Source organism: Homo sapiens, chromosome 4, assembly GCF_000001405.40.
Source record: "Homo sapiens chromosome 4, GRCh38.p14 Primary Assembly".
Classification (NCBI taxonomy): Eukaryota; Metazoa; Chordata; class Mammalia; order Primates; family Hominidae; genus Homo; species Homo sapiens.
In genome coordinates this window covers 9,512,779-9,539,613 of record NC_000004.12, presented here as the reverse complement: position 1 = coordinate 9,539,613, position 26,835 = coordinate 9,512,779, and the positions used below count along the sequence as shown (strand labels likewise).

Sequence of the window (26,835 nt, the reverse complement as noted above, 5' to 3'; positions counted from 1 at the left end):
ATGAGCCTGGAGGATATTATGTTAAGTGAAATAAGCCAAGCACAGAACGACAAATACCACATGATCTCACTTATATGTGGAATCTTAAAAAGTTGAACTCGGCCAGGCATGGTGGCTCATGCCTGCAATCCCAGCGCTTTGGGAGGCTGAGGCCGGCAGATTGCTTGAGCCCAGGAGTTCGAGACCAGCCTGCATAACATAGCAAGACCCCATCTCTACATAAAAATACAAAAATCAGTGGAGCGTGGTGGTGCATGCCTGTATCCCAGATACTCAGGAGGCCGAGGTGGAAGGATTGATTGAGCTTGGGAGGTCAAGGCTGCAGTGAGCCAAGATCATACCCCTGCACTACAGCCTGGGCAACAGAATGAGACTGTCTCGAAAAAAAAAAAAAAAGAAAGAAAGAAAAAGAAAAAGAAAAGAAAAAAGTTGAATTCACAGAAGCAGAGTAGCATGATGGTTGCCAGGGTGGGGAAGTGGGCAGATGCCAAAGGACACAGAATGTCATTTTTAGAGAAGAAGACTAAGTTCAGGAGATCCATGGGACAACATGTTACCTACAGTTAATAACAACATATCATACACTTGGAAATCACTGAGAGAGTAGATTTTTAAAGTGTTCTCACCACAAAAAAATAAGTCTGGGAGGTGATATGTTATTTAGCTTGATTTAGCCATTTCGTAATGTATACATACTTCAATCACATCATGTTGTACACCCTCTTGTACATAATTTTTGTCAATTCAATAAATTCAACAACTCCAAAAAACAAGACATTCTCTTTACAAAAATAATTATTAAAAATAAAATTCAGAATTCCATTTTATTTATTCGTTTATTTTTGAAACAGAGTGTCGCTCTGTCACCCAGGCTGGCTGAAGTGCAGTGGTGTGATCTCAGCTGACTGCAACCTCGCTTTCCCCGCTTCAAACGATTCTCCTGCCTCAGCTTTCCAAGTAGCTGGGATTACAGGTGTGTGCCATCACTCCTGGCTAATTTCTGTATTTTTAGTAGAGACAGTTTCGCCATGTTGGCCAGCCTGGTCTCGAACTCCTGACCTTAGGTGATCCGCCAGCCTCGACCTGCCAAAGTGCTGGGATTACAGGTGTGAGCCACTGTGTCTGGACAGAATATAAAAGATTGTTTAATTCAACTAAAACATTAAAACATAGATTATTTCTATAAGTGGTAATTGTTCTAACATATTTGGTCAAAATAGTCTCCTTACCTATCCACAATTAAATGGTTAATTGACTTCTGATTGGATTTTGATAAAGTTTTGAAATCATGATTGACTTTTCCAATGTACAGTAAAATGTGTTTGAAAATATTTCATAAAAATTAATATTTAAAAATGGTCAGGCATGGTATGGTGGCTTATGCCTGTAATCCCAGCACTTTGGGAGGCCAAGGTGGGCCGATCACTTGAGGTCAGGAGTTTGAGACCAGCCTGGCCAAACCTCATCTCTACTAAAAATACGAAAGTTAGTAGGGCATGGTGGCACGCACCTGCATTCCCAGCTACTTGGGAGGCTGAGGCAGGAGAATTGCTTGAACCTGGGAGGTGGGTTCCCCAGGCTTAGAGCAAAACCCCCATCCTGTCTGTCTCCACTCTCATCCCAGGCAATCACAGTCATTTTGACAGCCTCAACCACTGTCTAATGGGATGCCTCCCAAGACCGAGTCTCCAGCCCAAACCTGCCTTCCTAGCCCCAGACCCATCTGTCCTGGCACACATTGCCCCCTGGGTCCCCAGCAACCTCAGCCAATGAGTCCAATGTCAACTTCCTGTCCTTGCCTGACACTGTCAGCCCTGAGATCAGACTTGACCATTCACCTCCAGTACCTGATAGATCCGTCAGTGTTGTGGAACATATCCCATGAACATTCCCCAAACCAGGCACCGGACTCCACACATCAACACCGTCACGTGAGTCACCAGCATCCCTGGCAGGGACCCCTGACCCAGCCTCCAACTCATCTCCTTCCTGTCCCTTGAGTTCTGTGTCACATTCCAGAGGCCACAAGAAGAAAAATAACCACCTTAATGAAATTAAAAGAATTGAGAAGACATTTCCCTATGGACCAAAGTCTTTCCAACTGAGAAACACATATCAAGATCCAGCCGGCCAGCCCAGTGGTTAAATGTTCCTGAAATAATTAAAGCCCAGGGCAACACAGCCCGCACTCCACAAGTACTCCCAGCACAGTAAGACTTGCTTCTCTGCAGGGGTTTGAAATGTCCAGTGCGTACCCTCCCCCTCTCTGTGGTAGCTAACAGGAATGTGCTCCTTGTCTTCTTCCTGCTCAGAGGACCGTCCACCAACCTGCGCAAGCAGCACTTTTGGAGGGGTGGGGGGGAATGGGAGAACTTCCCGCCATTTCCCACTTACTCACTGCATTCCTCAGGAGCCTGCCTCACAAATTACAAGAGCGCCACAGCAGACACACCACGTTCCAGTGGGTGGCCATGTCTTCATGTCAGCTTGAAACATTGTCGACAGGGAAATATCTATATCTCGGCAGAGAGAGCTGTGTAGTCCAGCTGTGCTCAAATGGAAATCCAGAAACCCAGATGTTGGTCCAAACACCCTGTCTCAGACAGCCGGCTCTGCAGGTCCCCAGTGTGGGAGTGAACTGGGTGGGCCACCTGCCCTGCCTGACCACATCCCAGACTCCTGGAATCCTGGACCCTGAGAACCAGGGGGATGTGGTGGGGAACAGGCAAGTCTTGTGCAGAAAGCCAAGATGCCACCCAAATCCACTCTGCAGTCTAGGTGGGCGATATTCTGGACCGCACCACACCAGCGCATGAGGGGATGGAGGATGCAGTCTAGACAAGCCAAATGTAAAAAGATATTGCCCAAGTATTTTGTGCTTTGTCTGTGTTACAATGCTATGCCCAGCCCAGCGTGGTGGCTGACACCTGTGTTCTCAGCACCTTGGGAGGCCGAGGCAGGCGGATCACCTTAGGTCAGGAGTTTGAGATCATCCTGGCCAATGTGGTGAAACCCATCTTTACTAAGAATACAAAAATTAGCTGGGTGTGGTGGTGGGCACCTGTAATCCCAGCTACTCAGGAGGCTGAGGCAGGAGAATCACTTGAGCCCAGGAGGTGGAGGTTGCAGTGAGCGGAGATCTTGCCACTGCACTCCAGCCTGGGCAACAGAGTAAGACTCTGTCTTAAAAAAATAAATAAATAAAAATAAATGTTATGCCCAGCATTTTCCATGTACTGTCTTATTATCTCAGTAAATCCCATATAGTCTTCCTATGAAAGTGTATCTCATTTATCTCCATTTTATAGATGAGAAAACTGAGGCCCCTGGAGTAGTAGTAATTTTCCAAGAAAGCATTGCTCATAAAGGGTACAGCAGGGACCCAAGCTCAACACTCTTACCCTCAAACATTTCCACAAGTGTAGACCAATGGCTCTCAACTGGGGTGGTTTTGCTCACATACCACTCCCTTGCTCCATGGCATTTGAAACCGTCTGGAGACATCTGGGGTAGCCATAGCTGGGAGGGTAGAATGGCACCTAGAGGATGGAGACCAGAGATGCTGCTAACCATCCTACAATACACGGGATGGCCCCACCACCAGCACCACGAATGGTCTGACCCCAAGTGTTGTGACTGTGCCAAAGCTGAGAAACCCAGGTTTCTCCTCAGCAAGAAGGAAAATCCCTGCAACGTGGATGCACCTCTACAGGAGCCCCAGGCTGACAATAACCTTCCTGATCTGGTTTCAACCCTGGATGCTTTTACCTGGTGCGTCCATCAGGGATTTCAGGGACACCAATGAATTACCCTTGAATGCTCGGTTCCGCCTGACAACCCAGAAATCTCTGCCAAGGTGCCTGGTCTTGAGGAAGGCTCAGCAAGTGGTTGAGGTTGATAACCAAATACCTAGGAGAGACTTTTCTCTCCCTCCAGGAGGAGCTGTGGGTCAGACACACCCTGGGATCACTCACAAGCAGTCAATAAAGGCTTGGGGAGGGCCAGGTTTTCTAGGCCTTCTCAATGGGGTGGGTGTTTGTGGATACACAAGAAGCCTGTGAAACTTCTGATATTGGCAGGAAATCAATGCCCCCTACCCTGCACCCCCCCACATCCCCACCATAAACACATGCCCTGCAGCAGGACTTGGCACTCAGGGGCTCCTGGGGGCCCGATTTACCTGCTAAAACATCCTCTAGCCACCACCGAATAAAGCAACCCCTTGCCACCCAACCACAAGAGCACAGCCTAGGAGCCACTCCAAGGAACACCAAGTCACATTAAAACCTCAGCCATCCAGAGCACCAGGCCTGGTGATGAGGAAGAACATTTTATCCTTAAAAGCATCTGAATGCCCATACTGCTTCTTGCAGAGAAAAGTCCAAAATAATCTGCTATTAAAGAACGAGGATGGTTTTGACATTTTTACCAAGCTAATGGTCTACGCAGACAAAATCTCATAAAAGTGCACTCTGTTCTTCTTGATCCACTCAGATATGGCCTGTGAGTGAGGAAACGGGCTCTCCTGCTCAAACAAATCGCTGCTGATCCTCAAACCAGCCTGACACTGCTTCATGGGTTCTTCAAAGAGAGTATTCCCATAGAAACTAAAAGGGAAGAGGAATGTGTCTGGCGGGCATTGTGGGCAGCAGTGAGCTTTGGGCCAAATTTTAAGTTTGAAAATCAAGATTCCCTCTTTTCGAGGGGCCGCCGGACTGAGCAGATACAGGCACCGTGAAAAGATGGTGCCATATTCAGATTCAGGAAACAAGGATGGTTTCTGTTCAGTTCCTGCATCATCCTTCAGGTCATGCGATTCCCATTTCCCTCTGTGGACCAAACAATTCAGTGGGGTTTCTGCCTTTTAAATATTTCATTATCAACATACCATCCTTCTAGCCTCCAGAAAGCATTTTAATGGAGATTCTGGCTTAAGACTCTTGTGGGTCTGTCTCTCTCTCTCTCTTTTTTCCTTGAAACAGGGTCTCACTTTGTCACCCAGGCTGGAGTGCAGTGGCATGACCACAGCACACTGCAGCCCGACCTTCCAGGCTCTAGCAATCCTCCCACCTCAGCCTCCCAAGTACTTGGGACTACAGGCACACACCACAATACGTGGCTTTTTTTTTTCTCTTTTGGTAGATATGAGGCTTCGCCACGTTGCCCAGGCTAGTCTTAAACTCCTGGGCTCAAACGATCCCCTGCCTTCGGCCTCTCAAAGTGCTGGGATTATTGGCTTGAGCCACCACGTCCGGCCAAGAATCTTTTCTCTTGTGATGCACTCCAGAACAAAACGTCACTGCAAAAACACACCAATGCATGAGTTTCAGTCCTAAGTCCCATTTATCCACCAAACACTATGTGTCAGGCACAACGCTAAGTGCTTCTATGGACGAGCTTCCCTTAATCTCAGCAGTAACAACCCCAGGCAATGGGGCCTGTTGACAGATCCATTTGCCACTGAAGACAGTAAGGCTCAGAGAGGGTAAGTGGCTTGTGCCATGCCAGCCAGCTAAGGAGGGGCAGAACCAGGATGCAAACCCCAGCCGCCTGGCTCCAGACTCGTGTTCCCAAGGTCCCACTACACTTGGTCACTCCACTGCATTCTGGTATCCTGGTCTTTGGCAGAGTCCACGTAAAAGAGGGAGGGAGAGGGAGTGAGAGGGACTTCACGCAATAAAGTTTCCTGGCGTTACACTGCCACCGTAATTGTGTCGCCGACCAGGACCTCTCCTTTCTCACCCTTTCCGTGATCGGCCGTGGAAACCCTTCCAGAGAACTGTCCTCCTTCTCCCGGGATCTCAGAGAAAATTCACCTGAGTTCAGTGTCCAGGTGACCCAAGCTCTGAATGCAGTAAAGTGCATGGGGAGATGAGGATGTCACCATGAGCAAGCCTCCCAGACAGCATCCGGGAGCAACCCCAAGACTGGGCAGGGGGCTCTGATGCAGCCCACGGCGAGGAGGGCTGCCCGTGCTGCCTAAATGGGTTCAGAATGAAGGTCGCCCTCTCGCCCATGTGGGGCTCATTCACCACGAATCAAATGATTAAGACAAGCTCAGCTGACTAAATGGTCAAACATAAAAACATGTGGAAGGAACAAAGAGGTCAACCCCATTATCCATCAAAAACCATCAAGGTGGCGGCCCTCACTGAGGGGTACAGCTCTCCAGCGGGCCCTCATCTGCCCTCCAAACCCATGTGCCTCCCCAATGGAAGGCCAGCAAAGCCACACAGGAAGAGTTGGGGTAGGAAAGCAGAAAGTGAACCCCAGGAGGCCAGGCTGGCCACGGAGCCCCATCGCACACACACAGGCCCGGTGACTCAGGGGCCCACGTGTGCAGGACACCGGGAGCTCACAGGGACAGCGCCCCAGGGGATGCAAGGAACTTTGCCTTTCTGTCCCTCTCTGTAGGGATGGAAAGAGGAGAGCGATTTCTGGGATGGAAGCCATCTGCCTCCTCTCAACTCTCGTTGTCCAACCAGAAAAGGAAGAAAAACAGGAGGACGCGGGGCAGGTGAGGAGCTGGGTGAGCGCCACCAGCCCGCAGCCCAGCAGAGCAGGGCTTGGCCAAGCCCGGCGCCAAGGACTTCCCGCCTACCCCCACCACAAGCCCCTCGCCAGGTGAGAGGCACCGACAGAGTCCCAGACAGATGCCCCAGACAGGATGCCCAGCACGACCCCCCCCTTCCCCTGCTGGGGGCACCCAGGACGCGGGGCTCCCCTTCCCCTTTTGGCCAGCCGCAGAGTCCAGCGGGTCTCCCAGCCAGGGACGTCGTGGGAGAATCAGGAAGTCGAAGCCACACATCCGAGAAGGGGCAGCTGGCGTCTCGGAGGCCGTCACGAGCTGTAACTCCGCGCCCGCCGGAGTTGCCGCTCAGTTACCAACTTCAACCCGGGGCCGGCCACTGAGCCTCCCGCCGCCCCTACCGCGCACCCCCGGACCCCCACGCCCGCGTCACTTACTCCTCTGCCGTCGCCACCTGTCTGGGTGCCGGTCTCCTCCCTGCCTGGCCGCGGCGCGTCCTCCCCGTCCTCGCAGTCCTCGGGCTGTGCGCTTCCCCCTTCCAGCCCCAGCCGCAGCCTCTTCTCCTCGGGAGGTACGTCGTCCTCCTCCCTCCTGGGCCGGCCATCCCAGCCTCGGGGCTTGCCTGTGGCTTTGGAGCTGCCGGAAGGGCTGGCCATGGCTCCGGGGGCTCTGCCTGCACTTGGGTTAGAGGAAGGACCCGGCGCGAGCGGCCTCTGGGCGGAGCTGGGGCGTCTGAGCGCGAGCTCGTTGGGTCCGCGCGGCGCGGAGCTGGGCAACGGGGTCGGCGCGGGCTCCTCCGCCGGCCGCTCCTGGCTCTCTGGCGCCCTCTGCTGGCCGCTCGCGCGCACCGCGGACACGCCGGGCCGGGGCCTGTTCCGCGCTCACCTGCCCCGGCCCAGGTGGTCGCTGTCCCCTGCCCGTGGCCAGGCCCGCTCCGGCCAGGCCCTGCACCTCCTCCCCGCCCCAGCCAGTTTGCACCCCGAAGGTCTCCCTGCCCAAGGAGGAGAGAAGAGAAGGGACGCCCCGAGAGGGTGGACATCGGCCACAGCCATCTTGTCTTTGCTCTTACCCTGTGTCTTGCATGATTTGGAGGTGGTGGGAAAACCGAGGCTGCTCAAAACTCTTGGAGAATTCCGCCTGCAGGATGACATGAATGCACCTTCGCATTGCCTACCAACAGATCTTTTTTGAGCATCACTGTGGACCGGGCGTGGTGATGGGGGAGGGGATATTGTGGTGAACATGAAAGGCATGGCCTTCACCCAGTGGGACTCAGCGCTGGGTGAGAAGGCATTGAGAATGGACATTGTCAATTGGGCCAAAGGAGGCCAAGGAGAAGTGCTGGGGGCATGGGAACTGAGAAAGACAGGAGGCTCAGCAGGTCTTGGAGCTGGGAGAGGGACAGCAGCAGCGGCTGTTCCAAAGGAAGCAACAGCTGAGAGAGGTCTCAGAGAGTTGTTCTCAGCCCAGTGGAGGGTGTTCAGGCAGAGGGTTCAGCGTGTGCAAAAGCCCAGAGGCTGGGAAAGAAGCAGAAAGAAGACTGTGAGGCTGGAGCATGGTGGGCAAGGGGAGAGAGGGGTTGTGGGCGGACAGATTGCCTGGGACCCAGCCCTGCAGGGACAGAGGAGATAGGGGATCCTTGCAGGCCCCCAGCCGGGGCTCAGGCACAGAGACAGTGCAGGTGGGCAAAGGGAGGAGACGTGGAGAAATATTTTGGAGGCATGCCCTGATGAATGAGCCCAGGATGCACCCTTAGTGTCAGTGTGGAGCTCCTTCCTTGGCTGTGTGATGAGCTGAACCCTTGGGTATTTTATGGACAACGAGGTGCTACACCAAGAGTCCAGGACAGGCTAAGTGAGCACCAGCAGCTCCTGGCCTACCTCAAAAGCAGGAGAGACAGGGGAGACCGGGGAGGCCAGGGAGGAAGGGGAAGCCAGGAAGGCAGGAGAGGCCAGGGAAGCAGAGGAGGCCAGGGAGGCAGTGGAGGCAGGAGAGGCTGGGGAGGCTGTGTCCTTTCCATGATTCTGCCCGGGATCCTAGGCCCCTCTACTCCCTGAGCTTCCCCACCCCAAGCGCTGGAACCATGTTGCACAATGGTCTCCCCACTAAGCTCCTAATGGCGGCCCCTACCCTGCTGTGCTCCCTATTTCAACCCTAACAGCTCTCACAGGGGGCAGCACATAGTAGGTGCTCAGGAAACACTGGTGGGAGAGCACATGGGTCTGCTAAGCACCTTCCTCTCTCCTCCAGCTCTCCCCTGTCATGAAATAATTCTAATAACGACACATGGGCTTTGGACCCTCTTCTATTGCTTTCCATATGCTAATCCATGTATACCTCACAGCAGCCCTGGGGTTTGGTGCTATTAGGATGCCCATTTTACAGAGGAGGGGACTGAGGTATGAAGAGGGTAAGTGACATAGGCACACTACAGGGGCCAGGACCAAGTGATTGCAGCACTCAATCCCCAAAGGCAAGGTGGTCGCAGTTACCATAAAAGACAGCAGAGTCAAAGCTACAACCGGGATAGTCTGACTCACAGAGAACTATGATGCCAGCTGATCGTGCCATTCCTAGAGGTAAAATAGATAAGAAGCCTGCCACATTTGTACTTGATCTGTGTTTACAGAAGAGTTCTAGGTCAGATGAGCAGAAGTCTAATCTGTATCATAAAAACAGAGTCACAGTCCCCAGACAATTCCCAGACATAAGCCAGTTCACAGACCCGGAGGCCCTTGTCTGAATGGGAAGCCAGGTCCCCTCCAGAAAGGACTCTGCTCCACTGCCAAAAATTTATACTGTCAATCTTTCTCCCAGCCTGCCCCCAAAGGAATACACAGCCTTTTACCAGGATGACTGAACAGGGGAAAAGGGACTAATGGGACCTGTGCAGGATCACTGGACACAGGCTCTGAACTGGCACCAGGGCGAGACACCAGGGCGAGACTAGCGTCTACCAGTCAGAATAGGCATTTTGGAGTTCAGGTGAATGTTGGTGCAAGTTCATGTCATAGTAGATCCATTGGGTCCCCAAATCCATCCTCTGGTTATGTACAAAGAGGCAATGCTGAGATTCAAATTCAGGGCATCCAACTTAGAAGCTGTGCTCTTACTCATGAAACAGTCTGACACTAGTAACCAATTTAAAAATGCAAACACCTCCTGGGGCTAGCGAGAGTCCTCCAAACAGTCATGTAAATTGGTTCTGTCAAGGATTTCCTCCTATCCACCCCACTCCACCGCTGAGAGCCAGTTGCAAGGAGAGACTAGGGAAGGTCATTGGGTAACTTTGTTGCTAAAAGCTCTTCTGGATAAAGACGTTTGGGAAAAAAAGCAAATAGAGTTCAACAGAAGAGGTAAGAAAATAAGTTTATGTTTGACCAGGCACGGTGGCTCACGCCTGTAATCCTAGCACTTAGGGAGGCTGAGGCGGGCAGATCAGGAGGTCAAGAGATCGGACCATCCTAGCCAACATGGTGAAGCCTCGTCTCTACTAAAAATTCAAAACTTAGCTGGCCATGATGACACACGCCTGTAGTCCCAGCTACTCAGGAGGCTGAGGCAGGAGAATCACTTGAACCCAGGAGGCAGAGGTTGCGGTGGACCGAGATCATGCCACTGCATTCCAACCCGGCGACAGAACAAAGACTCCATCTCATAGAACAAAACAAAACAAACAAAGAAAAAAAGTAAGCTTATTTTTAAGCCTGAACAAGTGTAGTGGTTTAGGGGTTCTGCAAACACGGCCCCAATCAGGCTACAAGATGTTGTGGCAGCAAAATTTACACTCAGTCATTCCTGGCAGGCTGAGCCACTTTTCAAAACACCCTTGCACAGCTGTGCAGAGCGGCTGGCTCCACTGGCAGCCGGCAGAGCCATAACTCACACTGTCACCACTCCCCTCAAACCCCTTCAGTAAGCAGTTTTTTTTTTTTTTTTTTTTTGAGACGGAGTCTTGCTCTGTCATCCAGGCTGGAGTGCAGTGGCGCAATCTCAGCTCACTGAAAGCTCCGCCTCCCTGGCTTATGCCGTTCTCCTGCCACAGCCTCCCAAATAGCTGGGACTACAGGCGCCCGCCACCATGCCCGGCTAATTTTTTGTATTTTTAGTAGAGACGGGGTTTCACCGTGTTAGCCAGGATGGTCTCAATCTCCTGACTTTGTGATCCACCCGTCTCGGACTCCCAAAGTGCTGGGATTACAGGCGTGAGCGACCGCGCCCGGCCTGGTAAGCACTTTTAATCAATGCAACAGGAATAAACATTTGCTGCAGAGCGGCCATGTGCAGGGAGGAACACGGTTCCACTCAGGCTCAGAAAGCAAAACCTCCTGGCTGTTTGCATCTGTGCGAGAGCTCGCAGGAAAAGCCCTCTGTGTGGCTGCCAGCCTCACACACTACCCCCAAGGGATGAGTTTCTCTTTCCATGTTAATCTATGTTCTGACATGCCATCTGTCAACCACCACACCATTCTCAGTTGACATTTCGAAGCATCTTTGCCCTGTGAATGGTCACCAGCCCTGCCCTGCAAGCGCCCAGGTGACATTGAACTTAAATGAGAGAGAAAACAGGTTTCGGGGTGGATTTCCATTCAGCATCTTGGAGTCTCTGTGTGGACATGAAATCTGTCTCCCCAGCTGTGGGCTGCATCCTTGTTTGTCATCTGGTTTGGTTCTCGGGGACTTGGAAACTAGTGGGCACCTTTGCAATTTGTCAAGGAGTTGCAGGGCCCTTCCAACAAAAGCAAGCAATAGGAACAGAATCCCAAGGCTTCAGATCAAGGTGCAACTTAAAGCAGCCTCAGTGTAAAAGCAAACAGGAGTCAGAGGGATGCCTAAGGCAGAGTCTAGTCCCCAGGGCAGCTATAAGGCAAAGAGAAAGAGAGAGAGAGAGAGAGACAGAGACAGAGAGAGAGACAGAGACAGAAAGACAGAGAGATGGGAGGAAACATGAGGCACCCAGGCCTCTGCATCAAAATCCCTACAAGTGGGGCTTCCTAAAAATGCAGGAGGCTGAGGTGGGTGCACACAGATGTTCAAGACTAGCGTGGGCAGCATAGCAAGACCCTCTCTTTACAAAAAATACAAAAATCAGCCGGGTGTGGTGGTGTTTGCCTGTGTTCCCAGCTACCCAGAAGGCTGAGATGGGAGGATGGCTTGAGCCCAGGAGGTAGAGGCTGCAGTGAGCCAAGATAGCACCACAGCACTCCGGCCTGGGCAACAGAGTGAGATTTCATCTCAAAAAAATTTAAAAAAATTTTAAAAAGGATCACCCTGGCTACCTGAATGGATGGTATGAAGGTAAGAGCAGAAGCAAGGAGACCAGCAGGGAGATTCTGCAGGTGGCAGTCCACAGTGGCTCAGACCAGGCTGGTGCTGAAGACCGGCTGGATTCTGTATATATTTTGATGATGAAGCAACTCACTGACTCTCGAAGAGTGGGCTCTAGGAGACTGTATTTTTAACAAGCTCTCAGAGGATTCCAATGCAGGCTGAAGTTGAAGAACTCCTGACTTAGGTGAAGCTTCTGTTTCATCCTTGGGGAAGTACCTACTGAGTTTTCTCCAAGCCACCTAAAAGAGGCGTCAGACAAGATGTGCTCCAATGTCTGAACATGCGTGCACAGCTCTAGAGCCGAGCTCAGGGCACTGAGTCAAAGGTTAGGAGTACAACAGTGAAAACCCACCGTCCTCTTTTCAATGAGCTTTGCATTTAATGAGAGAAATGAAAAGCAAAAAAAAAAAAAATCATTTTCAATTCAGACTGGTAAGAGTTATGGTGACAGTATGCCTGGGGCAATGGGAGCACATAGAAGGGGCACCCAATCGACCAGGTGCAGTTGTTCATGCCTGTAATCCCAGCACTTTGAGAGGCCAAGGTGAGTGGATCACTTGAGGCTAGGAGTTCGAAAACAGCCTGGCCAACATGGTGAAATCCTGTCTTTACTAAAAATACAAAAACATTAGCTGGATGTGGTGGCGGGCACCTGTAATTCCAGATACTCAGAAGGCTGCGGTGGGAGAACTGCTTGAACCCGGGAGGCGGAGATTGCAGTGAGCCAAGATCGTGCCAGTGCACTCCAGCCTGGATGGCCAGAGCGAGACTCCGTCAAAAAAAAAAAAAAAAAAAAAAAGCTCGGAGGTGGGTGGGCATGCAATCTATATCAGGTGGTCAGAAATCCTTATCCATCACAGGACTCCTCAGTTGAAGACTAGAAAATGGTAGGGATTAGCCAGGTCGATAGGAGAGGTGTGGAAGATCATTCCCAGCAGAGGGAAGAGCATGTGCAAAAATCGAGACATGAGAGAGTGAGGAGCTGAGAGATGTTCATATAATTGTAAAAAGTGACTAATGTAGAGGTAAGTTGGAGCCAAATCTTAAAGGCTCTTTGTCGTGTTTATCCTGTAGACAAAGGGAGACAGTAGATGTTTTCAGGCAGGGGAGTAATGATCCACTTTGTGCTATGAAAAGAGAAGTCTGGCTGGAGGAGAGTGGGAGGTGAGTAGACCAGGTAGGAGGCTGCAATACACCAAGTGAGACAAGATGGTTGTCTGGACCAAGGCTGTGGCAGTGAGGATGGAGAGGAGACAGTAGACTAACTTGACTGAGAAAGAGGGAGGAATGAAGGATGAGGCCCAGGTGTTTTGGAAGCTGGGTGGATGGTGGTGTGAATCTGACGTGGTGAGCCCAGGCAGAAGAGGAAATCAGGAGAGGAAAGGTAAGATGAGGTCAATGCAAGACAGACAGCCAAGTGGAGATAACAACTGGGCAGTTGGATTCATCAGCCTGGAGTTATACAGAGAGCTCTGGAATGGAAATAAAGAGGAAAGGACTTTGGGAATAGGTGAATCCTCCCAGAATAATGTGTAGAGAAAGGAGAATAGAACACAGGGGACAGAAAAAGGGAAGAGATTTGTTATTAAAACCAACCATCCATCAGACATCTTCCAATAAAACACTTGTGAGAGGTTTCCTCAGTGTGAGTTATTCAGGACCAGAGCTAAAGACCATATTCCCAATAACATCACTGCTGGGAAGGTCTTCATGAAAACATTTAATGCTGCTTTTAAAACAACAACAGCAACAAAAAGACTTTAGCTACTGCACAGACCCTGGAGCAATTTTTCGGCAAGAGTCTATCAAACATGAATCTGATCTGACTCAAGGAGGTGTCATATCAAGTGAAAAAATCCAATTCCAATGTCCATAAGAGCCTTTCTGCCAGGTACAAGACTCCAATCCAGTTGAGTGATTTTCTATTGATTAATAGGCTGGGAATACACAGGTTGTTGGTTTTTGAGATTTCCCTCCCTGTGCTTTCATGCCAGCTGTGAAAGAGTCAAAAGGCTCCTAACTGTCAAAATAAAAATGACACTTGGTCACAGAGGAAACAGATTATAGGTCAATTGCATTGATGACTTTTTAAATATGAGAAGCCATTAATGTTACTGAGTAAGCAAATCTGTTTGCATAACCAGATTTTTATAGGCTACTGGGAATAAAGGTTTTCCTAAGTGGGCGATTTGTACAACGATAGCATTTGGGTCTCTGATGGAACAGCTCTGATGAGGAAATGTTCCTTTAATTATGTGGAAGGCCAATTACCACTTTATAGCCACATTGTTTTGCAGATTGCATATAATTTCACCATTTCCATAGCTTCAGCACTATAATTCTGGAGAAAATTCAGGCACCAAGAAGACACTTGAGGCACATTATGCTGGAGACAAAGATGTTTTAACAAATTCAATTTAAGCTTCAACATTAAAGTTATTTTGTTGAATAAAGCATAATGCAATAATGACCTTGTGTATATCAACTGTATGATGGAGGTAATAATAGCTAGAGAGAGCGTGTCCCATCTCCTCTTTTTAACGCTCATTTGAGTAATACATAATGTTATAGAGAGAACTTTTCTCTAATATGTGCTTCATCTCAGGCTAAGCGTGTTTTGTGCAACTGTGCTTCATGAAAAAAAAGGTAAAGGATCTAATTTGGGAGCCATTCACAAAAGTGCTACCACTTGATGTTTTCTATACTCTGAGATTTCCTATTCCCAGTGCCTACCAGGAATGGACTTTCTGGAGAAGCTCAGATTAATCACTCCTTATGAGAGGTGACAGCATGCTGGCAGCCCTCACAGCCCTCGCTCACTTTCAGCGCCTCTTTTGCCTGGGCTCCCACTTTGGCGGCACTTGAGGAGCCCTTCAGCCCACAGCTGCATGGTGGGAGCCCCTTTCTGGGCTGGCCAAGGTCAGAGCTGGCTCCCTCAGCTTGCAGGGAGGTGTGGAGGGAGAGGCATGAGCTGGAACTGGGGCTACGCATGCTGCTTGCCTGCCGGCTGGAGTTCTGGGTGGGCGTGGGCTTGGTGGCCCCGCACTAGGAGCTGCCGACCAGCCTTGCATGCCCGGGCAGTGAGGGGCTTAACACCTGGGCCAGCAGCTGCTGTGCTCGACTTCTCGCCGGGCCTTAGCTGCCTCCCCGTGGGGCAGGGCTCGGGACCTGCAGCCCGCCATTCCTTAGCCTCCACCCTCCGTGGGCTCCTGCGTGGCCCGAGCCTCTCTGATGAGCACCACCCCCTGCTCCATGGTGCCCAGTCCCATCGACCACCCAAGGGCTGAGGAGTGTGGGCGCATGGAGAGGGACTGGCAGGCAGCTCCACCTGCAGCTCCTGTGCGGGATCCACTGGATGAAGCCAGCTGGGCTCCTGAGTCTGGTGGGGACTTGTAGAACATTTATGTCTAGCTAAGAGATTGTAAATACACCAGTCGGCACTCTGTATCTAGCTCAAGGTTTGTAAACACACCAATCAGCAACCTGTGTCTAGCTCAGGGTTTGTGAATGCATCAATTGACACTCTATATCTAGCTACTATGGTGGGGACTTGGAGAACCTTTGTGTGGACACTCTGAATCTAGCTAATCTAGTGGGGATGTGGTGAGCCTTTGTGTCTAGCTCAGGGATTGTAAACGCACCAATCAGTGCCCTGTCAAAACAGACCACTCAGGCTCTCTGTAAAATGGACCAATCAGCAGGATGTGAGTGGGGCCAGGTAAGAGAATAAAAGCAGGCTGCCCGAGCCAGCAGTGGCAACCTGCTGGGGTCCCCTTCCACACTGTGGAAGCTTTGTTCTTTCGCTCTTTGCAATAAATCTTGTTGCTTCTCACTGTTTGGGTCCACACTGCCTTTATGAGTTGTAACACTCACCAAGAAGGTCTGCAGCTTCACTCCTGAAGCCAGTGAGACCATGAACCCACTGGGAGAAATGAACAACTCCAGACGTGCAGCCTTAAGAGCTGTAACACTCACCATGAAGTTCTGCAGCTTCACTCCTGAGCCAGTGAGACCACGAACCCCACCAGAAGGAAGAAGCTTCAAACACATCTGAACATCAGAAGGAACAAACTCCAGACACGCCACCTTTAAGAACTGTAACACTCACCAGGAGGGTCCGTGGCTTCATTCTTGAAGTCAGTGAGACCAAGAACCCACCAATTCCAGACACACTTATACACTTGGCACTGGGAGGTCTGTATGGAGCAAGTGAAGAAATCAGCAGATTGAAGATAGAGTGAGAACAACATGATGGGGGAAAGGCAAAGTTACTACCATGTTGGTTTCAATTCTGCCACTCATGAGTGAGACCCATGACCTCCTCTCTCTAGGACTCTGTTGTTCTTATCTGTAGAGTGGAGGAATAGAAGGGCCTTTTAAAGTATTAACATTTCCTGACCTATCTGTAAAACACTTTCATTCAGACTGATGGGAATCTTGACTACTTTGCCAATAGGACATAATAATCATCAAGCTGAACGCACCAAACAACATTGCCTGAAACTATCTAAACAAAAACTGAGAAAGTTACACAGGACAGACAAACCTCCTCTAAGAGTAAGAACTCTTCAGCACATGTTTAGTGTGTCAAAGACAATGCTGTGTTCACACCATTCCTCTTCCTGGATATGCAGAAAGACTACATTTCCCAGCCTTACTTGCAGTTAGTTTGGAACCATGTGACTGCATTTCCACCAATAGGAATGTAAGAAATAACTTCAGGCCAAGGTTATCAAAGGCAAGGGTGAGCTATGTTCCCTCTCTTCCTATCCATATGGCTACAAGTGAAAAACTCTGAGATGGCAGAATTAAAAGATGGAAACCTCCAGAATCTCTGAATCACTGTTGGACAAGGGCCCCCAAGGAGAACACCTGCCCTGCACCAGACTATGCTATGAATGCCAACCCACTGAGAGTTCAGGGTTTATTGGTCTCAGCAGCAGTCTGCTGTTACACTGACTAACATCTTAAGGTTTGAGAGATCTAGCATATTGTTAATTGAAGCTAGATTTCAATTACACTGAGAAACTTATCTATTTAAAAATAAAAACTCTCCTAAAAAAAAAATCCACATTCCTTTTAACAACGTGGCAAATTTGCAAAAAAAAAAAAAAAAAAAAACTGGCCACATATTAGGCCATAAAGAAGTCTCAACAAAATCCACTATACGATTGACATTGTCCAGACCACATTTTCCTGACCATAATGCAACAAAATTAGAAGTCAACAGCAAGAAGATAGCTAAACACAAGCATACATTAGGAAAATTAAAAACATCCTTTCATGAGTTAAATGAAAAATCACAATAGAAATTACTAAACATTTACAACTGAACGAAAACACAACTTTATATATATATATATATATATATATATATATATTTGTGTGTGTGAGTCTTCCAACTTTGTTCTTCTTTTACAAGGTTATTTGGGAAATTCTGGGTCTCCTGCAATTCCTCATACAGTTTTATGTTGTTTGTCAATTTCTGTGGCTGGGATGAACTTATCGTAGTTCTCATATACCAGGGTTTGCACGTCGCTGTCTAGAGCCCGGATCTGCTGCACCATGTCTGTCTCACTGTCCATCAGCTGGGCCAGAGGGCACTCTCTAGGCAGCTTGTCTAGGTAAACTTCCGGGTCGAAGTGCGCCCCGTTCAGATCAGTGGGGTCCAGGGGGTCGGGCCCTGTGGGGAGTCCCACAGCCTCCCCTTCCCAAAGGCCGTTGTAAAGCTTTAGCATCCTGTGCGCCTTCCGCCGACGCTCCGTGAGACTCCACATCGGGCCCTTCTGGTGGGTCCCCAGGTCCACACGCCGGGCTAGGCGCACTGACAGCTACTGCCGCCATAGCTCCAACTGCAGCCCAGGGGCGTAACTTTTTATATTTTTAAGTTGGATATATGGAGCTACTTGGCTTTTGCTTTCATCACATCGTTGAGGAAAGAGGTGGTTGCTTATGGTACCCCTGTTTTTACTGCAACCTGTAATGGATGAGAACCTCCCTGTTGCAGAGAGCAAAACACTGAATTAAATTGTGCTGTAACACAGCCCTGTGTTGGGGGATTGGGAGTTATCATGCAAACGCTTGCAAATTTGCACAGTGACAGAGACAATAGTTTGGGCAGCTGTTCACTATATGAAAAGGCAATTGACCAAAAGTCAGTTACTGAGCTATCTCAATACTTTCATTTTATTTTAACTTTTGGCAACAGGGTGCAATTAAAGGAGAGAAAGAAAACAAAGTGATAAGTGTAAGATAATGCACACACATGTGTAAAAGAAAATGACAAGACAGGATGACTATTAGTCTCTTGGTTAGCTCCTTGGGCTCTATGTCTCCTTCCTCAGAGAACCTCGTTTTCCTTTGTCCAGATTTGTTAGGGTGGATAATCCAGGCGCTTGCTCCCCCATGATGGAAGCCAAAGACGTCCCTGGAGCCGCCTCCCATTGCACCCTTTCCTGCACTGCCCACATGGACACAACTCAGTCAATTAGACTTCCTCTCGGAACTTTAGTCTTGAGCAAAGGGATTAAAGGGTGAAGTGACTAAAGGTATGCCCTTCCAAAGTGGTACGTGAGCTAATGGCTAAAGTTTGCCAAGCCCATCCAAGCACATTTTTTCGTAATTTTTATTTATTTTATTTTTAAGACAGAGTCTTGCTCTGTTGCCCAGGCTGGAGTGCAGTGGCGTGATCTCGGTTCACTGCAACCTCTGTCTCCCGGCTTCAAATGAGTCTCCTGCCTCAGCCTCCCCAGTAGCTAGGATTAACAGCCATACGCCCCCATGCCTGGCTAATTTTTTTTTTTTTTTTGTATTTTTATTAGAGACAGGGTTTCACCATGTTGGCCAGGCTGGTCTCGAACTCCTGACGTTGTGATTCGCCTGCCTCAGCCTCCCAAAGGACTGCGATTACATGCGTGAGCCACCGCGCCCAGCTTCCAAAAGTTTTAAGCAGAGCTCAGAGGTCTTAAGCACAGGCACATCAGAGGAGCATTTTTGAAATGCTTTCCAGCTTCCTCAATAGGAATGGAAGCCAAATTCCGAATTGATGACTCCTTTGAGGAAGTCGAGAGCTGTAACGAAAGCCAGGAACAGGGGCAAGGGAGGGATGCGTCCCGAATGATCCTGTGCCAATTCTTTCTGGAATCCTTGATGTGATCTCAGCTGCCCTTTCTATACATGACACAGTGATTGTGGCACCCACTGGTCTAGCTGTGGTCTACAAGGAACCCCCAAAGGGAAGGGCACGGTGAGCAGGGCCATCGGCCTGAGTGACGAGGATTTGAGAGGTCAGGTTGGCTGCAGGGAGAGGACTGGCCAAATGCCTTGTGTCTGGACTTAGACTGCCTGGTTCAAATTGGACTTCACCCTTTGTGACTTCGTGATCTGGTACAAGCTACTTGAAAATCTGTTGCGCCTTTTCTGGTCTGTAAAATCATCATGAAATGTGCACTAATAACGTGGAGACTATGCAGATGAAATGAAACCAGCTGCATAGAGCACAGAGCTCAGAGCCTGGCCTTTAGGAAGCCCTCAGTAAGGGTTCATGATGCCATGGTGTCTGTCGTCATCCTCTTTATCCTCATCATCACCTTCATAATCTCTTTGTTGTTTTAGGGAATAATTTAGAGGGACTGATTCCCTGCTATCATGGGTGAGATGTCTATGAAAAGGACAACCAGTGGGGGAGGAAAGGAAAATTTTGAATAAGATTTCTGAGACCCCCCAGCACAACCAAGAACAGAAACTCCACAGTCTGCTGAGCACAGAGTTTGCATATTGGTCTCCTCACATCTGCCCAGCGCATTCTCCTGTTTGTCCTGAGGAGGAGGAAACAAACAAGCCTCCCGACCGTCCCTCAGCACTCACTTGAAGGGGTAGCCTGCCGCTCCACACTTGTGGGTATTTCTAGTCTGGTGGGACGAGAGACTGAGAAAAGAAATAAGACACAGAGACAAAGTATGGAGAAACAACAGTAGACCTAGGGGACCGGCGCTCAGCATACCAAGGATCTGAACCGGCACAGGCCTCTGAGTTCCCTCAGTTTTTATTGATTATGATTTTTATTATTTTAGCAAAAAGGAATGTAGAAGGAGCGCAGGGTGATAATAAGGAGAAGGTCAGCAACGAACATGTGAGCAATACAATCTAAGTCATAAGGAAGTTCAAGGGAAGTTACTATGACTGGACGTGTCTCTAAGCAAGATTTATGTTTCTCTCCACCCAAACATCTCAGTGGAGTAAAGAATAACAAGGCAGCATTGATGCAAACATGTCTCACCTCCCGCGATAGGGCGGTTTTTCTCGCATCTCAGAATTGAGCAAATGTACAATCGGGTTTTATACCGAGACATTCAGTTCCCAGGGGCAGGCAGGAGACAGGGGCCTTCCTCTCTCTCAACTGCAAGAGGCTTTCCTCTTTGACTAATCCACCTCAGCACAGACCCTTTACTGGTGTCGGGCTCGGGGACAGTCAGGTCTTTCTCCTCCCACGAGGCCACTTTTCAGACTATCACATGGGGAGAAACCTTGGACAATACGGAGCTTTCAAGGGCAGAGCTCCCTGAGGCTTTCCACAGTGTATTGTGCCCCTGGTTTATTGAGACTAGAGAATGGCGATGACTTTTACCAAGTATACTGCTTGGAAACATCTTGTTAACAAGGCACGTCCTGCACAGCCCTAGATCCCTTAAACCTTGATTTCATACAACACATGCTTTTGTGAGCTTCAGGTTGGGTCAAAGTGGTTTGTTCAAAGTGACTGGGGCAAAGCTACAGATTAACAACATCTCAGCAAAGAAATTGTTGAAAGTACAGGTCTTTTTCAAAATGGAGTCTCTTATGTCTTTCCTTTCTACATAGACACAGTAAGAGTCTGATCGCTCTTTCTTTTGCCTACACTCACTGAACTGCCCTTCCCCTCTACTGGGCCGTGACCTAGCAGAACAGGTCCACTGACCTCCCTGCATGGAGCACCATGGAGGCTCAGACTCCATCCTTGAGGCTGGCAAGAAGACAGGGTAAGACATGAGCCTCCTGATACAGGTGATGTCTGTGGAGCCCACAGGACTGAAACTTCACACTGCAGGGCTGGAGGCACAGACTGACTATTTACTATTCTGTGCCCTGGGGGCTTAAGGCACAGAGCTCCTCATTAGCCAAAGTCGCCCAAGTTCCCCAACCAAGAAGGATTTCCTCATAACAATGCAAGAAGAAGAAGAGAAAAGTGAGTGTCCATAGAAGTTTGGGGCTCTTCCTCTAATCAGGAGAAAGCTGGTGTGTATTCTTCACTTCTTTCTTTTCTTTTGAAACATCCAACTGCTTTAATTTTAGTCTCTTATTATGGGAAAATATACCACGTGTAAATATTAAAAATTATAAATATATATTAGTTCATATAGAATGGCCAGTATAAACATTTACAATTTCCCCTCTTTTTCAGTTTACAGTTTCATGACATTAAGTACGTTCACATTGTTTAGCAACCATCACCGTCATTGTCTCTGGAACAGTTTTATCTTTCAAAATGGAAATTGCACCCATTTACCAAGCTCTCCACTCCTCTCTCTCGCCCACCCCTGGGGGCCACGTTTCTACTTTGCAACTCTATGAGTTTAACTACTCTAGACACTTGATAGATAAGTGGAATCATACCGTGTTTAATTTTCTTGTTTTGGAGACAGAGTCTTTCTCTGTCACCCAGGCTGGAGTGAAGTGGCGTGATCTCGGCTCACTGTAACCTCCACATCGTGGGTTCAAGCGATTCTTCTGTCTCAGTCTCCCGAGTAGCTGGTATTACAGGCGTGCGCCACCACGCCCAGCTAATTTTTGTATTTTAAATAGAGACCATATTGGCCAGGCTTGTCTCGAAATCCTGACCTGAAGTGATCCGCCTGGCTCAGCCTCCCAAAGTGCTGGGGTTACAGGTGCGAGCCACTGAGCCTCGGCGAGTTTATCCTTTTGGGATTCATGTATTTCACTGACGATAATGTTTGTAAGGTTCATCAACATTGCGGCCTGCGTCAGAAGTGCCTCTCTGTTTTTTTTTTTTTTTTGGTTTGTTTTTTGTTTGTTTGTTCGTTTGACTTTGTTTTGTTTTGTGTTTCCATGGAGTCTCACTCTGTCGCACAGGCTGGAGTGCAGTGGCACAATCTGGGCTCACTGCAACCTCCGCTTCCCGGGTTCCAGCGATTTTTGTGCCTCAGCCTCCCGAGTAGTTGGGACTATAGGTACACGCCACCACGCTCGTCTCATTTTTTGCATTTTCAGTAGAGACAGGGTTTCACCAAGATGACCAGGCTGGTCTTGAATTCCTGACCTCAGGTGATCTGCCCACCTCAGTCTTCCAAGACACTGCGATTACAGGCGTGAGCCACCGCACCGGCCAGAAATGCCTGCCTTTTGAAGGCTGAATAGCCTTCCATTGTATGAAGGAACTGCAGTGTGCTTTTTCATTCATCTGTCCACGAACCCTTGGGTTGCTTCCACATTTTGGCTGTTGTGAATAATGCTGCTATGAATATGGGTGTACACAAATCTGTCTTCCACTCCTGGCTTCTAATTCTTTTTGGTAGGTACCCACAAATGAAACTGCGGGAACATCTGATCATTCTTTTTCGATTTTTCCAGTAGACGCCATACTACTTTCCCCGTTCCTTCACGGTTTTACATTCCCTCCGATCATATTCGAGCATTCTTACTTCCCTCTAGTCTCACCAATGCTTGTTTGTTTATCATATCCATCCTAATGTGTGGTATCACATTCTTGGTTTGATTTGCGCTTCCCTATGATGAGTGACTTTGAACATCATTTTAGATGCTTATTGGCCATTGCTATATCTTCTTTAGGAACACGTCTACTCGAGTCTTCTGACCATTGTTGATGGGATGCTTTGGGTTTCTTGTTGTTTAGTTCTAGCTGTTCTTTATATATGATGGCTATCAGCCTCTTTTCAGATATATGTTTTGCAAATCTTTTTCCTAATCCATGGGTTATCTTTTCACTCAGTTCACAGTGTTTTTTTGCTGCACAAAACTATCTGTCATTTAGATGTAATCCAAGGAATCTAATTTTCTTTTGTTGCCTATGCTTTTGGTGTCATATCCCAGAGAACATTGCCCAATCTGATGTCATGAAAGTGTGGCCAATGTTTTCTTTTAGGTGTATGATACTTTTAGCGCTTGGGGTGAGGTCTTTGATCCAGTTTGTGTCAATTTTTGCACCTGGTGTGACATAGGGTCCACCTTCATTCTTCTGCATGTGGAAATCAAGTTTCTCCAACACCATTTATTGAAAAGGCTGCTTTTCCACCATTGAGCTTTCTTAGCACTCATGTGGAAAATCATTTGAACATATAGGTGAGAAGTTATTTCTGGGCTCCAACAGAAACAAACAACAACAGACAACAGGTAAGGATACAGCATGGGCCGGGCGCGCTCATGCCTGTAATCCCATCACTTTGGGAAGCCGAGGCTGGCGGATCACCTGAGATCAGGAGTTGAAGACCAGCCTGACCGACAGGGAGAAACCCCCGTCTCTACTACAAATACAACATTAGCTGGGCGTTCTGGCACATGCCTGTAATCCCAGCTACTCGGGAGCTGGAGGCAGGAGAATCGCTTGAACCCAGGAGGCAGAGGTTGCGGTGAGCCAAGATTGCACCATGACACTCCAGCCTGGGCAACAAGAGCGAAACTCCATCTCAAAACAAAAAACAAAAAACAAAAAACCAGCATGATTTCAAGAGCAGAAAGAGAAGAGCTTAAAAACCAGCATAATGAGAAAGTTAGGAAGCTTCTTACCAAAGCATCTGGAAATATGCAAGCAGTTCTTGTGAACTAAAATTTTCATACTGTACTATCAAACACTAGAACTCACTTATTCCATCTTTCTGTATTTTGGGACCCAATTATCCACTTGTCTTCATTCCCTATCCCACCCCTTTTCTTCCTAGCATCTTCTGATCACCTTTATACTTTCCATCTTCCTGAGATTCCTTTTGTGTGTAGGTGTGTGATGGAGTCTCTTTCTGTTGCCCAGGTTGGAGTACGCAGGCACAATCTGGGCTCACTGCAAGCTACACCTCCCGAGTTCAAGCGCTTCTTGGGCCTCAGCCCTCTGAGTAGCTGAGACTACAGGCACGCATCACGAAGCCCGGCTCATTGCTTGTGTTTTCCGTAGAGACGGGGTTTCACCATGTTGGCCAGGCGGGTCTCGAACTCCTGGACTCAAGTGATCCGTGCAACTCGGCCTCCCAGGGTACTGGGATTACAGGCCTGAGCCACCACACCTGGCCAAGGTGTCCTTTTTCCTTCCTACATAGAAGTGAGGACATGAAATATTTGTCATTCTGTACCTGGCTTATTTCATTTAATATAAATACCTGCAATCTCATCCATTTTGTCTGCAGCGGAGAGGAGTTTCTTCCCTTTTAGGCTGAATAATACTTCACTGGGTGTGTATACCACAGTTTCTTCATTGAAACAAATTTCTGAAGAGCAAATATTTTTTAAATGTCTCAGAATGTGAAACTTCAGGGATACTGTGCCCATTTTATTCTTTTCTATTTCCCATCTTATGTATATGCAAGTGTACCACAAAGCAGCAGTCAATGTGTGTATAAATCTACAACTTCAACAAATGTAAAATGTAAATGCTGAGTGGTGGCTGGGCGCGGTCGCTCATGCCTGTCATCCCAGCACTTTGGGGGGCGGAAGCGGGCGGATCACCTGAGGTCGGGAGTTCAAGACCAGCCTGACCAAAATGGAGAAACACTGTCTCTATTAACAATACAAAAAAAAAAAAAAAATTATCCAGGCATGTTAGCGCTTGCCTGTAATCCCAGCTACTTAGAAGGCTGAGACAGGAGAATTGCTTGAATACGGGAGGCAGAGGTTGCAGTGAGCCGAGACCGTGACATTGAACTCCAGCCTGGGCAACAAGAGTGAAACTCTGACTCAAAAAATTAGGAAAAGAAAGAAATAGAAAATGCGAAATGGTAAGAAAAAACAGCATAATAAACATTTGTATGGTGTTGATGGACAATGCATTTGAAGATAATAATTGAAGAAATCATATTACAATTAATTTCTGTTCTCACTCATTGGAGCTTGATGCCTCTAAAAACTTCATCATTGGAACCACCTGTGGTGCTTTAAAAGAAAAAAAAAAAAAAAAATCCACATACTCACACAGGTGCAAGGAAATCTGAATCTCAGGTATTGAGACCCAGGCCTCATCATTTGTAAGCTCCCCAGGTGAGTTGACTCAAAACCAAGATTGAGAACGGCGACATGGATCTCTACACTTAACCTGCCTAAATAGATTCTCTAGAAGCAGTTTATAAAGAAATTCCACATGAACTGTGGAAGAGGATATGAATTTGATGTACAGTATGTCCTCACTTAACATCTTTGAAAGTCTCTTGGAAACTTCACCTTGAAGCAAAATTATGTATAGTGAAACCACTTATTTTTCACCAACAGTATAACTACACAACTTTGAACAACCAATTGTGTTGGAGGACCTCCTGTACATTTTTTCCATAAAGTCAGTTTTCAGGGAATTCCAAAACGAAGTGAGGACTTCGTGTATATAAAAAGATGGTTGTGATTCCACCTGGATGACAAGGTTGTTGTTCAGAAACTAAAGGAGGCCGCCTAGGTATAGAGGATTCTGTCATGAGGTTTCTGCAAAACAAAGGGTCCCAGAATCTTCACCCATTCCAGTGAAAGGCATAACGAAGAAAGCAATATTCACAAAGGAAATGCGGAAAGGAATAAAAGCCATCAGCCACAAAAAGAATGTGACTAAGAGGCAGGATTTGCAGATGTAGAGATTTAATGTGGTTGCCCTTTCTCACCCACACAAGAAAAACGATGGAACAGATCATGAGATTCGACTGTTCTGCTGCGCAGCCTCCGCAGGGCACTTTGTATGTTCCTGTTTCTCAGGCTATAGATGAAAAGGTTCAGCATGGGGGTGACCACAGCGTACATCACTGACGCCACCACACCATTCCTGGGGGGTGGTGACACAGCTGAAGTCAGGTACATGCCAATGCCTGTTCCATCAAATCAGCAAACAACTGCTAGGTGAGAGGCACAGGTGGAGAAGGATTTATACTTCCCATCTGACGATGAAATCCTTAGAATGGAGGGGACGATTTTATAGTAAGCCATAGGATCCCTGAAATGGGAAGAAAAGCAAACATAGTACTATCGAAATATATGAAAATGATATTGATGACGCTGTCAGAACAGGCAAGTTTGAGAAGTTGAGAGGGGTCACAGACAAAATTAGAGATTTCCACATTCTTGATGATGTTGAATTGTAACACAATTCAACTGTGCAGCTGGGAATCCAACAGGCTAAGAAAAAAGGACACCAAAACGAAGAAGACACAGAGGTGAGGATTCACGATGACTGGGTAGTGCAGAGGGCGACAGATGGCTACAAAGCAGTCATAGGCCATCACAGTCAGGAGCATGCCTTCTATACATGCAAAAAAGACCAAGAAATACATCTGCGTCAGGCAGCCCGCATGAGGGATGACTCTGCTATGCGACTGCATGTCCACAATCATCGTGGGAACCGTGGCCGAGGTGAAACCGATGTCAGCCCAGCACAGGTTGGAGAGGAAGAAGTACATGGGGGTGTGGAGGGGAGAGACAGAGCTGACAGTCAGGATGCTGAGCAGGTTCCTCATCACCGTGACCAGATACATGGACAGGGACAGGGAGAGCAAAGCGAGGACCGGTTGCAGTTCTGGATCCTCTGAGAGTCCCAGGAGGAGGAATTCTCAGACATCTGTGAGATTCCGTGGCTCTGTGTGTCTTGGACACCTTGAGAAGGAAAGAGGATTGGAAAAATAAACGATAAAAACCAGCCTTTAATGCTGGATGCAAGCAATTCACAAGGAACAGTTTCACACTTGCGGACCATACATCGCCAGCAATGTTTCTCAGTTATGACAATT

The 26,835-nt window shown here is 48.2% G+C and overlaps 3 pseudogenes, besides 5 other annotated features; all 3 read right to left on the bottom strand.

The window, feature by feature from the left end:
- Positions 1–795: 795 nt before the first annotated feature.
- Positions 796–7,568, bottom strand: LOC101928948 (translation initiation factor IF-2-like; annotated as a pseudogene).
- Positions 5,661–6,537: an enhancer, noted in NCBI's record as "H3K27ac-H3K4me1 hESC enhancer chr4:9534696-9535572 (GRCh37/hg19 assembly coordinates)". NCBI's record gives its function as "activates a minimal SCP1, AML or CMV promoter by ChIP-STARR-seq in naive and primed H9 embryonic stem cells {active_cell/tissue: H9 hESC(naive and primed)}" and the evidence as "EXISTENCE:reporter gene assay evidence [ECO:0000049][PMID:30033119]".
- Positions 7,062–7,131: a silencer, noted in NCBI's record as "silent region_15269". NCBI's record gives its function as "represses an Ori minimal core promoter by ATAC-STARR-seq in GM12878 lymphoblastoid cells {active_cell/tissue: GM12878}" and the evidence as "EXISTENCE:reporter gene assay evidence [ECO:0000049][PMID:35858748]".
- Positions 7,142–7,451: a silencer, noted in NCBI's record as "silent region_15268". NCBI's record gives its function as "represses an Ori minimal core promoter by ATAC-STARR-seq in GM12878 lymphoblastoid cells {active_cell/tissue: GM12878}" and the evidence as "EXISTENCE:reporter gene assay evidence [ECO:0000049][PMID:35858748]".
- Positions 9,922–10,434: an enhancer, noted in NCBI's record as "H3K4me1 hESC enhancer chr4:9530811-9531311 (GRCh37/hg19 assembly coordinates)". NCBI's record gives its function as "activates a minimal SCP1, AML or CMV promoter by ChIP-STARR-seq in primed H9 embryonic stem cells {active_cell/tissue: H9 hESC(primed)}" and the evidence as "EXISTENCE:reporter gene assay evidence [ECO:0000049][PMID:30033119]".
- Positions 10,435–10,934: an enhancer, noted in NCBI's record as "H3K4me1 hESC enhancer chr4:9530310-9530810 (GRCh37/hg19 assembly coordinates)". NCBI's record gives its function as "activates a minimal SCP1, AML or CMV promoter by ChIP-STARR-seq in naive H9 embryonic stem cells {active_cell/tissue: H9 hESC(naive)}" and the evidence as "EXISTENCE:reporter gene assay evidence [ECO:0000049][PMID:30033119]".
- Positions 17,338–17,704, bottom strand: VPS51P18 (VPS51 pseudogene 18; annotated as a pseudogene).
- Positions 25,627–26,791, bottom strand: OR7E83P (olfactory receptor family 7 subfamily E member 83 pseudogene; annotated as a pseudogene).